The 12,981-nt window shown below is 40.2% G+C and overlaps 1 protein-coding gene across 4 annotated transcripts in view; it reads left to right on the top strand.

Annotated features, from left to right (window-relative positions):
• Positions 1-7,936, top strand: part of YME1L1 (YME1 like 1 ATPase) — a 44,274-nt gene extending 36,338 nt beyond the window's left edge. For all 4 annotated transcript variants that reach the window (NM_001253866.2, NM_014263.4, XM_011519300.4 and 1 more), the window contains 5 exons: positions 320-471; positions 1,702-1,828; positions 1,914-1,987; positions 3,440-3,526; positions 5,927-7,936. In NM_001253866.2, coding sequence (NP_001240795.1) covers positions 320-471; positions 1,702-1,828; positions 1,914-1,987; positions 3,440-3,526; positions 5,927-6,070 — 584 coding nt within the window. In that variant the 3' untranslated portion in view covers positions 6,071-7,936. The remainder of the gene's footprint in view (positions 1-319; positions 472-1,701; positions 1,829-1,913; positions 1,988-3,439; positions 3,527-5,926) is intronic.

Raw genomic sequence — 12,981 nt, 5'->3', positions numbered from 1 at the left:
GGGATGCTCAAGTGTCTTTTATAAAATGGTGTACTATTTGCATATACCTACATAATTCTCCTGTATACTTCAAATCATCTCTAGATTACTAATACAATATAAATGCTCTGTAAATAGTTGTTATAATGTATTTTTTTCATTTGTATTATTTTTTATTGTTCCTCTTCCCCATAGTTTTAATCCTTATTTGGTTGAATCTATGGATGCAGAATCTGCTGATAGGAAGGGTGGAGTGTATTTGATTTGCAGACAAGAATGTGTTTTGTTGATTTAAATATACCTTTCTAATGGAGTATTTACTCAATTAAATTTATCTTAGGGCCTGAAAGAAGAAGTGTGGAAATTGATAACAAAAACAAAACCATCACAGCATATCATGAATCTGGTCATGCCATTATTGCATATTACACAAAAGATGCAATGCCTATCAACAAAGCTACAATCATGCCACGGGGGCCAACACTTGGACATGTAAGTTTTTTGTAGTGTCTCGCCCTGTCACCCAGGCTGGAGTGCAATGGCGCGATCTCAGCTCACTGCAACCTCTGCCTTCCGGATTCAAACGATTCTTTCACCTCAGCCTCCCAAGTAACTGGGATTACAGGTGCCCACCACCACGCCCAGCTAATTTTTGTAATTTTAGTAGAGATGGGGTTTCACCATGTTGGCCAGGCTGCTCTAGAACTCCTGACCTCAGGTGATCCACCTGCCTCAGTCTCCCAAAGTGCTGGGATTACAGGCGTGAGCCACCATGCCCTGCCTAATTCTTAAATATCTAATTACTCCGCTGCCCCAAAAGGGAAAACATTATGTTTTGTAGTAACTGATTCAGTAGTTTCTCTAAGATTTTTATCATTTAGTACAAGTTTATCAGATCTTTCAACATTGTAGACATTTAAAAAATTTCTATGCACCTGGGGAGAAAACAGTCCTATTGCAGCATTATCCACCTATTGTTGTTGCTTTATAAAGGATGTTTTTATTCTCTAATTGCTGGTTTTTCATCAGTCCCCTGATGACCAGCTTTCAGCAACATGGTATAAAGTACTTTAGTGAGAGCTAAATGATAATTCTGGTTTGTATTTTTTTATTTTGCCCAGTCTTACGGTGCTGAAATTCTGGTTTTTAATGTAACTATATCAGAACTGTATCTGAATTTTTTTTAAATTTTTATTTTATTTTATATTGATGGAGTCTCGCGATGTTGCCCAGTCTACTCTCAAACTCCTGGGCTCAAGTGATCCTCACACCTCAGCCTCCCAAAGTGCTGAGACTACAGGTATGAGCCACTGCACCCAGCCTGTATCTGAATTTCTTTCATTACATTTTATTTTATTTTAATTTAATTTGGTTTTATTTTATTTATTGTATTTTATTTTTGAGATGGAGTTTCACTCTTGTTGCCCAGGCTAGAGTGCAATGGCATGATCTCAGCTCACTGCAACCTCTGTCTCCTGGCTTCAAGTGAGTCTTCTGCCTTAGCCTCCCAAGTAGTTGGGATTATAGCCATGCACCACCATGCCTGCCTAATTTTGTATTTTTAGTAGAGACAGGATTTCTCCATGTTGGTCAGGCTGGTCTCGAACTCCCAACCTCAGGTGATCCACCCACCTCGCCTGCCAAAGTGCTGGGATTCAGGCGTGAGCCACCGCACCCAGCCTCTTTGCTTATTTTTTATCTGATTAATTTTTAATTGTCTAGGTGTCCCTGTTACCTGAGAATGACAGATGGAATGAAACTAGAGCCCAGCTGCTTGCACAAATGGATGTTAGTATGGGAGGAAGAGTGGCAGAGGAGCTTATATTTGGAACCGACCATATTACAACAGGTTAGCTTTAAAGAATGGCTTTAGTTCAAATTATATGTGGTCTTAAAGATATGTTTTAAAATGGTATGTTTTTATTTTATTTTAGGTGCTTCCAGTGATTTTGATAATGCCACTAAAATAGCAAAGCGGATGGTTACCAAATTTGGAATGAGTGAAAAGGTAATAGATTTTTTAAATCCTTTTCATGTATCAAATTATGTGTCAAGTGTTGATTTGAGAGCTGGTTCTGATTATAAATTGGTAATATTCACTTTTTCTCTCACTCCAAATGGATTTGAGGCTCTTTATTCTGAACATTGTTATTCTCTGAATAAAGAAAATGGACCTTCTCTTAGCTGCTGAGAATGAGCTGCCCAGATAGTAACTATTACTTCACGAGTTAATTAAGTGATAAAGCAAGGTGAATTCCTTAGCTTTTCCATGTGGCATGAAAGAGTCTACTTTCTAAGTTTGGTTACTTTACTGTTTCCCTCTATTTCATATTTTCATCTTGTCATTGTTCCTTGAAGCACTACTATACTCTGTGAATTATGGATTTCTATATTTGAAGTAGCTGCCAAGGTTTTTCAAGAAAGTACTGAGAACCAGACTTAAAATGATTTTAGGCTGGGCACTGTGGCTCACATCTGTAATCCCAGCACTTTGGGAGGCTGAGGAGACTGTATTGCTTGAGCCCAGGAGTGAGTTCTGGACCAGCCTGGGCAACATGGCACAACCCCATCTCTAAAAAAATACAAAAATTAGCCAGGTATGGTGGTGTGTGCCTGTAATCCCAGCTACTTGGGAGTCTGAGGTGGGAGGATTCTCTGAACCCAGGAGGTCGAGGCTACAGTGAGTCCACTGCACTCTACCCTGGGTGACAGAGCAAGACCCTGTCTCCAAAAAAAAAAAAAAAGATTTTAAATGTTCTGTCTTGCTCATACTTTTACTATTTTGATATTAGTGTTTTTTTGTTTCTTTGTTTTTGAGACGGAGTCTTGCTCTGTTGCCCAGGCTGTAGTGCAGTGGCGTGATGTTGGCTCACTGCAGCTACCGCCTCCCGGGTTCAAGCGATTCTCCTGCCTCAGCCTCCCAAGTAGCTGGGATTACAGTCACCTGCCACCATGCCTGGCTAAATGTTAGTCTTTATACTTTCAGAAGAATGTGGAAATTTCTTTGCCCTCAAATGCAGTTTTTATTTTTATTTTTTTTGGAGACGGAGTCTCGCTCTGTCACCTAGGCTGGAGTGCAGTGGCGCAATGTCAGCTTACTGCAACCACCGCCTCCTGGGTTCAAGCGATTCTCCTGCCTCAGCCTCCTGAGTAGCTGTGATTACAGGCACGTGCCGCTATGCCCAGCTATTTTTTGTGTTTTTAGAAGAAATGGCGTTTCTCCGTGTTTCCAGGCTGGTCTCGAACTCCTAACCTCAGGTGATCCACCCGCCTCGGCCTCCCAAAATCCTAGGATTACAGGTGTGAGCCACTGTGCCCGGCCTCAAATGCAGTTTTCTATTGTACTTCTTTCTTGTCCCCCATATATTTGTTTCCTTATATATAGGATAGTACTTTCTCTTTCAAATTTGTTGGTGTTTGGGGGTTTTCTGTTCAATTACTTTCTTCCTTTTGGTTTTAGCTTGGAGTTATGACCTACAGTGATACAGGGAAACTAAGTCCAGAAACCCAATCTGCCATCGAACAAGAAATAAGAATCCTTCTAAGGGTAATAATATTTTTTGTGCTTATTTATTTTCTTAGGAACAATGTGCTTAAATAGTCAGGTTCTTAAAAAATAACAGCTGAAGGCCCTCTGTTCACTAGAAACATCATTTTATAAAATAAAGATAATAGTCACCATGGTGTCTGGGGAAAAAATTAAAAAATAAAGATAATAGTTGCAGCATTTCAGCAATGATTTAAATGTTATTAAGGCACCTCTCTGTTCATGAACCTGGACACGGGCTAAGAACAGTTCTATATTGCATGGTTGTAAAAATTCAATTCTCAGGGTGAGGGACAAAATAACTACATATTAGGTATTAGGTACAGTGTACACTATGTAGGTATGGATACACTAAAATCCCAGACTTTACCACTATACAATTCATCCATGTAACCAAAACCACTTGTACCCCATAAGCTGTTGAAATAAAATCTATATATAAAATTTTATATGTATATAAAATTCAATTGTACTTTAGCTGCAAAACTGTAAGAGGTAATAGAATGGGAAGAGTATTGTTTATTGAGTCTTTGACATGTATTCAACAAATAAATTTTTTTTTTTTTTTTTATGGAGTCTCATTCTGCTGCCCAGGCTAGAGTGTAGTGGCATGATCTCGGCTCACTGCAACCTAAGAAATAAGTTTAGTAGGTGTTTTATTGTTGGTTTTTTGTGGGTTTTGTCATTTTTTTTTTAAGGGGATGGGTCTTGCTATATTGCCCAGGCTGGACTTGAACTCCTGGGCTCAAGTCAACCTCCCAAGTAGCTGGGGCTACAGGCACACACCACTATGCCTAGCTCTATGATTTCAGTTTTTTGTTTTTGTTTTTTCTTTTTTTTTTTTTTTTGAGACAGAGTTCTGCTCTTGTTGCCCAGGCTGGAGTGCAGTAGTGCTATCTCGGCTCATTGCAACTTCCGCCTTCTGGGTTCAAGTGATTCTCCTGCCTCAGCCTTCTGAGTAGCTGGGATTACAGGCGCGTGCCACCATGCCTGGCTAATTTTTTGTATTTTTAGTAGAGACAGGGTTTCACTATGTTGGCCAGGCTGATCTCAAACTCTTGACCTCAGGCGATCCACCCACCTCGGCCTCCCAAAGTGCTGGGATTACAGGCATGAGCCACTGCGCCCGGCCCAATTTCAGTATTATGTATGTTGAATTTGAGGCATCTTAGTTGGAAATAGATGTGGGAACTTAGTGGAGAGATTGGTTATGTATTGCATTTGAATGTTGAAGCTACCCATTCATGAAGGCAGGTCTTTTTTTTTTTTTTTTTTTTTTTTTTTTTTTTTTTTTTTTTTTTGAGACAGCATCTTGCCCTGTCACCCAGGCTGGAGTGCAGTGCTGTGATCTTGGCTCATTGCAACCTCTGTCTCCCAAGCTCAAGTGATCCTCCCACCTCAGCCTCCTGAGTAGCTGGGACTATAAGCGCATGCTGCCATGCCTAGCTAATTTTGTTATTTTTTGTAGAGAGCATTTCACTATGTTACCCAGGCTGGTGTCGAACTCCTGGGCTCAAACGATCCACCTGCCTTGGCCTCCCAAAGTGCTGGGATTACAGGTGTGAGCCACCGCACCCAGCCAGGCAGGTTTTAAGGGTAAGACTGACCAGCCTGGGCAACATGGCAAAACCTCATCTCTACAAAACATAGAAAAATTAGCTGGGCATGGTGGTTCATGCCTGTAGTCCCAGCTACTTGGGCTGAGGTGGGAGGATCACCTGAGCCCAGGGAGGTTGAGGCCGTAGTGAGTTGTGATTGCCTGACTTCACTCCAGCCTAAGCAACAGTGAGACTGAAAAAAAAATAGAGAGAGAGAGAGTGACAGAGCTGAGTGCCAAAGTCTTTAGTGAGTAAGGACTATGTTTGTCAGATGGCACAATGAAGACGGTTGGATAGCTCCATAGTCAAATGGCCTGGACTTCAACAGAATAGGAAGAGTGCATTATATAAGAGGGTAGGTTAGTAATGGTCTGAAAGAGGTAATGGGAACAATGAGCTCAGCTGTTTACTGTGAAGTAACTAGGGTAAACATGAACAAATAGCACTTGAGAGGGCTTAGGGAATGCATTCTCCACAGGAGGGACCATGGGTTTGATTATTTCAAGGAAGTAGAGGGAATGCTTTAGAGTAGTTAAGGATACAGAAAGTTTGTATGATGGAAAGGTTTAGAGAGTGTTATAGAAGAGGTGGTCTCTGCCTTCTCAGGTGTTTATTCTCTTTTCCTTACTATGTTATAATGCACAAATTATCTCTACTGTAGAATCAAGATTCTACATGATTTTATAAATATAAACAGATTTCATATTTTTTAGGGTACATAAAGTTTTTCTTTCTCTTCCCATTGACTGGTTTTCGCATCCCTGCATTTGCTGCTGCTTACGTATCTCCTTTTCTGTTTCAGGACTCATATGAACGAGCAAAACATATCTTGAAAACTCATGCAAAGGAGCATAAGAATCTCGCAGAAGCTTTATTGACCTATGAGACTTTGGATGCCAAAGAGATTCAAATTGTTCTTGAGGGGAAAAAGTTGGAAGTGAGATGATAACTCTCTTGATATGGATGCTTGCTGGTTTTATTGCAAGAATACAAGTAGCATTGCAGTAGTCTACTTTTACAACGCTTTCCCCTCATTCTTGATGTGGTGTAATTGAAGGGTGTGAAATGCTTTGTCAATCATTTGTCACATTTATCCAGTTTGGGTTATTCTCATTATGACACCTATTGCAAATTAGCATCCCATGGCAAATATATTTTGAAAAAATAAAGAACTATCAGGATTGAAAACAGCTCTTTTGAGGAATGTCAATTAGTTATTAAGTTGAAAGTAATTAATGATTTTATGTTTGGTTACTCTACTAGATTTGATAAAAATTGTGCCTTTAGCCTTCTATATACATCAGTGGAAACTTAAGATGCAGTAATTATGTTCCAGATTGACCATGAATAAAATATTTTTTAATCTAAATGTAGAGAAGTTGGGATTAAAAGCAGTCTCGGAAACACAGAGCCAGGAATATAGCCTTTTGGCATGGTGCCATGGCTCACATCTGTAATCCCAGCACTTTTGGAGGCTGAGGCGGGTGGATTGCTTGAGGCCAGGAGTTCGAGACCAGCCTGGCCAACGTGGTGAAACGCTGTCTCTACTAAAATACAAAAAAATAGGGCTGGGCGCGGTTGCTCACGCCTGTAATCCCAGCACTTTTCAGAGGCCAAGGCGGGCAAATCACCTGAGGTCAAGAGTTTGAGACCAGCCTGGCCAACATGGTGAAACCCCATCTCTACTAAACATGCAAAAATTACCTGGGCATGGTGGCAGGTGCTTATAATCCCAGCTACTCTGGGGGCCAAGGCAGGAGAATTGCTTGAGCCTGGGAGATGGAGGTTGCAGTGAGCTGAGATCATGCCACTGCACTCCAGCCTGGGCAACAGAGCAAGACTCTGCCTCAAAAAAAAATTAAAATAAATTTAAATACAAAAAAAAATAGCCAGGTGTGGGGTGCATGCCTGGAATCCCAGCTACTTGAGAGGCTGAGGCACGAGAATTGCTTGAACCCAGGAGGTGGAGGTTGCAGTGAGCCAAGATCACAGGAGCCACTGCACTCCAGCCTGGGTGACAGAGTGAGACTCTGTCTCAAAAAAAAATTAAATAAATTATTATAACCTTTCAGAAATGCTGTGTGCATTTTCATGTTCTTTTTTTTAGCATTACTGTCACTCTCCCTAATGAAATGTACTTCAGAGAAGCAGTATTTTGTTAAATAAATACATAACCTCATTCTGAATAATGTCCCTCATTTTGACTATAACTGTGCTTGGTTTCAAAAGCAAAATTAAACAAAAATCTCAGTCCCCTCCGAAGTGAACTTTGTGTTACCCTGCGTCAGAAATGCCAAGTTGTGTTTACTTTTCATTCAGATTTTGTGAATATGAACATGCTGTTATAGGATCTACAGATGAATATTTAACTCAATAGAAAAATTATTTTAGAACACATTGTATTGGTATTACAACCAGATTATATTCTTGACGTTGACTTCATTAAAATTATCTACAATTTCCTAATAATTTAAGCTGTATATGGTCTTCATTGAAAAAAGATAGATATTGTTACAGGAAGCTTGTTACATTATATTCTTGACCTTTTGGTTGATAATCTTAAATCTTAATGTAATTTCAAACTGGCAGAAATGTTGCCAGCATAATACATGGATGTCTCATATACCCTGCATCCAGATTTACCAGTTGTTATCATTCTGCCCGTTTTTTATTGCCCCAAACCTGTTCTGTCTCCCTCTCTGTATGTACATACATACACGTATAAAATATTGATAAAGTCTTATCTGTCTTAAATTTTTTTACATATTTGTTGAGGTATAATTTACATATGATAAAATTCATTTTAAATGTAGAGTTGAAAGATGTTGTGTGTGTAATCATCACCACAATTAGATTTTAGAACATTTCCATCACCCAAAACATTGTCATGCAAGTGTTTGGATTAATTTTTTAAGAAACTTATGAACTATTTTCAAAGTGACTATAATTTTATGTTCTAACTAGCAATGTAGGAGGGTTATAGTTTCTCCACATCTTTTGCAGTGCTTATAGTCTGCCTTTATAATTATGGCCATTCTAGTGGACCACTCATATCCAAATTAATCTCATCCAAGTTAGATCATTTCTCTAGTGACATAAGATGCTGAGCATCTTCCGGTGCTTATTGGCCATTTGTATATCTTCTTTGGAGAAGTGTCTATTCAGATCTTTTACTTCTTTTAATTGGGTTGTCTTGTTCTTACAAGTTAAAAAAGATATATTCTGAATGCAAGTCCTTTATCAGATCTTGATTTTTTTTTTTTTTTTTTTTTAAGACGAGTCTGGCTCTGTTTCCCAGGCTGGAGTGCAGTGGCGCCATCTCGCCTCACTGCAAGCTCCGCCTCCCGGGTTCACGCCATTCTCCTGCCTCAGCCTCCCGAGTAGCTGGGACTGGCTACAGGCGCCGGCCACCACGCCCAGCTAATTTTTTGTATTTTTAGTAGAGACAGGGTTTCACTGTTAGTCAAGATGGTCTCGATTTCCTGACCTCGTGATCCACCCTCCTCGGCCTCCCAAAGTGCTGGGATTACAGGCGTAAGTCACCGCGCCTGGCCGGGTCTTGCCTTTTTTGTTTGTTTTGTTGTTGTTTTTTGAGATGGAGTTTTGCTCTGTCGCCCAGGCTAGAGTGCAGTGGCGTGATCTCGGCTCACTGCAAGCTCCGCCTCCCGGGTTTAAGCCATTCTCCTGCCTCAGCCTCCTGAGTAGCTGGGACTACAGGCGCCCGCCACCACGCCCGGCTTATTTTTTGTTTTGTATTTTTAGTAGAGACAGGGTTTCACCATGTTCGCCAGGATGGTCTCGATCTCCTGACCTCGTGATCCACCCGCCTCGTCCTCCCAAAGTGTTAGGATTACAGGTGTGAGCCACCGCGCCCGGCCTGGATCTTGCTTTTTTATCCCGTTTCACAATCTCTGCCATTTTGGTGGAGTGTTCAGTTCATTTATACTTAATATTATTGATATATTTGAATTTATACCTGTCTTTTGCTATTTTTTTTTCCTCATACCTAAAGAGATTCTGCTGTTCCTCCTTTCCTACCTTCTTTTGCTTTAAATAATTGGAACTACTGGCTGGGCGCAGTGACTCACCTGTAATCCCAGCAATTTAGGAGGCTGAGGTAGGCAGATCACTTGAGGCCAGGAGTTTGAAACAAGCCTGGCCAACATGAGGAAACCCCATCTCTACCCAAAATACAAAAATTAGTTGTGCGTGGTGGTGCATGCCTGTAATTGCATCTATTCAAGTTGCTGAGGCAGGAGAATCACTTGAACCTGGGAGGCAGAGGTTGCAGTGAGCTGAGATCATGCCAGTATACTCCAGCCTGGGTGACAGAGCAATATACCATCTCCAATAATAGTAATAATAATAATAATAATAATAATGATAATAATAATAATGGTTGGAACTACTGCTTTATACGATCTTAATGTCCTTAATCTTTATCTGGGAATGTCTGGTTTTGCCTTGATTCTTTTTTTTTTTTAAGGATAGTTTGCTGGATATAGAATTTGTGCCTGACAACTTTTTCTTTGACTCTCTTTTAATGTCATCCCAGTGCACCCGGATTTCCATTACTTTTGGTGCAAAGTCAGCTGTTAATTATTTTTGGTCTCCTTTGTGTAATTGTTTTCCTCACTGCTTTTGGGCTTTTTTTTTCTGGGCCTTGTCTTTTAAACAGTTTGACTAAGACGTTTTTAGGTGTGGATCTCATAGTGTTTATCCTACTTGGGTTTGTTGTTATTGGTTTTTGTTTGTTTTAGCTTCTTGGATATATAATGTTTTTTATAAAATTTGAGAGATTTTTGGACATTATTTCTTAGTTACATTTTTCTGCCCTTTGCTCTTCTGTGATTCGCCTTATGCATTTGTTGGTACATTTCCTGTTACCCTGGTCTCAGGCTCTGTTCATTTTTTTCAGTCTTTTTCTCCCTCTATTTCTCAGGTTGTGTAACGTTGATTTTTCCTCAAGCTCACCGATGCGTCTGCCATCTCAAATCTACTTGCATTGTTTTGTTTCGTAAGTTGAATTTTTCAGCGCCCAGGTTTCCATTTGGTTCTTTCATAACTTTGTACCTCTTTATTGAGATTCTTTGTTCATTGGATTATTATAAGTTTTCTTTAATATAATAAACAGACTTCCATTTTGAACATGTTTATGAAGTCTGCTAAATCCAATAGCTAAGGATACTCGGGCAGTTTCTCTTGAATACTTTTCTTCCTTAGTGACTTATTTTGGAACCACACTCCAGATAAAGCAATTTATTATTAAGAGTGAACCTAAAGAAGACTTAAACTTTTCATAGCTATTCACTCAAAGCTATCAGAATGCCAGAATTTCACCTATCATCTATATCATTATTACTTTTAGTAACTGATACATATTTTATTGCTAGATACTCTCTAATATTTGTTCATATTCATTTTAAAGGTAATTCTGCATTATTTCAAGCCAGCTAGTTATAAGCATATTTCTTAATGTAAGTGTCTAATATTTTAATAAAGTGTGGTAGAATATAGACGATCTTTGGATTGGAAACATAACAGTACTGGACATGAAGATTTGTAGAGCTGATTCTTTTTTTTCTTTTTTTATTTTGAGATGGAGTCTCACTCTGTCTCCCAGGCTGGAGTGAGTTGGCATGATCTTGGCTCACTGTAACCTTCTCCTCCCAGGTTCAAGCAATTCTTGTGCCTCAGCCTCCCAAACAGCTGGGATTCCAGGCACCCGCCACCATGCTGGCTAATTTTTTTGTATTTTTAGTAGAGACGGGGTTTCACCACGTTGGCCAGGTTGGTCTCATACTCCTGACCTCAGATGATCTGCCTGCCTCAGCCTCCCAAAGTGCTGGAATTACAGGCATGAGCCACTGCATCAGGCCAGAGTTGATATCTTTGAAGTGAGGATTTTACTTCTATGCAAATTCTTTTCTGTCAGAGGTGAATCCCTATTTTAGTCATGAATATGATATTTATTCCCCTTTCACAACAGGAACTTCATATATATATATATATATTCATTATATATATTCATTATATATATGATTATATATATATATTCATTATATATATGATTATATATATATATTCATTATATATATGATTATATATATATATTCATTATATATATGATTATATATATATGATTATATATATATATATATATAAGTGCTGTGTGGTGCTTATATATATATAAGTGCTGTGTGGTGTTCTAAACTATTTCAGTCTTGCCTTAGCATTGTAATACATAATGTAGCTAATCTGCTATGAATTTGGGAATGCATTTTATGACAAATTTACAAAGCTGTCAGGGAAGATGGAAAGGTGCTGATTTCTCATATAAAACTGTCTTAAGAGAGCTTGATGTGAATCTCCTGCACTTCTGGAAGCAGGTATTTAACTCATCGCCAGGAAATCAAGCCTGAGAAAAGTTCTGGTGAGCTGCTTGGCTACTGTGTTGAGATTGGTCTGGTCTCTTAGCATTTGTTTTGGCAAAGAATGTTTGGATGTTTATAGAGGACAGATGAGAGCTCTGGTCAAGTATGAGAGCTGTTGGTGGGAGGGAGAATCCATTTGGGATCCCATATGAAAAGTCCTGTTAAGGGTGTGAGCAGGCCTTAGAAGAGGGTAATCCAAAGTGGATCTGTGGATTCCTTAGGAGTTAAGAGGAAAGAAAGGCCAGAGTGGAGTGCATTCATTCAGGTCAAGGCAATTGCAGGTGAAAACAGCTGTGGGAACAGAATTGTCCCTGCAAGAGTCAGCGTTCAAAGAAAGGCCACATCAGATATTCAAAATCATCTCACAACAGTTATCAGCCAGATAAGAACCACCCTCTTCAGTTTTTGTTTTGTTTTGAGATGGAGTCTCACTCTTTCACCCAGGCTGAAGTGCTATGATGCGATCTCAGCTCGCTGCAACCTCTGCCTCCCAAGTAACTGGGATTACAAGTGCGCACCACCATGCCTGGCTAATTTTTTTGTGTTTTTAGTAGAGATGGGGTTTCACCATGTTGGCCAGGCTGGTCTCAAACTCCTGACCTCAAGTGGTCTACCCATCTTGGCCTCCCAAAGTACTGGGATTACAGCATAAGCCTGTAGAGGAGTCCTATGCCAGACAGAAATGACTTGGCTTTGTATCCTCTTTGTATCCTGGCAGAAGCAAGGTCCTGGTGAAAGCACCAGCTGGAGGCTACAGTTCAACTGTGCACTCCACAATAGGGTCTCCTGAAGACAGATCCAAACAGTGTGACTCCACGGCCTTTGTATCAATCTGGGTCCAATGACAGCATAGAAACCACACAGCAATTTAGCGTGGTTTAATATAAAGAATTACTAAGCTATGAGATGAGAGTAATTATAAAGATGGAAAGAGAAGTCTAAAGGGTACCTTAGGGCTGAAGGAGAGTACTCAAGAAGGGGTTAATTTGGGAGGGGGGTTCAAACATTGGTGAAGGAGGTGGGATTACAGCCTGCTAGGTGGCAGAGAAGTTTGACTCCATTTGCATGTGACTTTCCCTTGCATCTGACTACCAACCTCATTTCATCTGCATCCCAGTAGGTTGTTTCTGCCTGCCTAGAGACCAAGGGGTGGCCCTGGCCCAGGTTCTGCTGTGCTGCTGGGTTGCTTCTTCGTGTTCCTTCTACACCAATGTCAGTAGTACTCTGCCCAGGCTGTGCATTCCCAGAGCATGCAGTTCCTTGAGTACCCTGAGCTTTGGCCCCAGCCAGTAACCCTTTTAACATGGACACCATGGTCTTCGTGAGCAGGCTTGTAACAACTTCCTGCCCTCAAGCCTTGTACTGCTGTGTGGGGAACTGGGCTTCCTGCCTCCTCACACCATCTATGCACGTATCAGATTGG

Source organism: Homo sapiens, chromosome 10 (assembly GCF_000001405.40).
Source record: "Homo sapiens chromosome 10, GRCh38.p14 Primary Assembly".
Lineage (NCBI taxonomy): Eukaryota > Metazoa > Chordata > Mammalia > Primates > Hominidae > Homo > Homo sapiens.
This window is presented reverse-complemented; position numbering and strand designations above follow the sequence as displayed.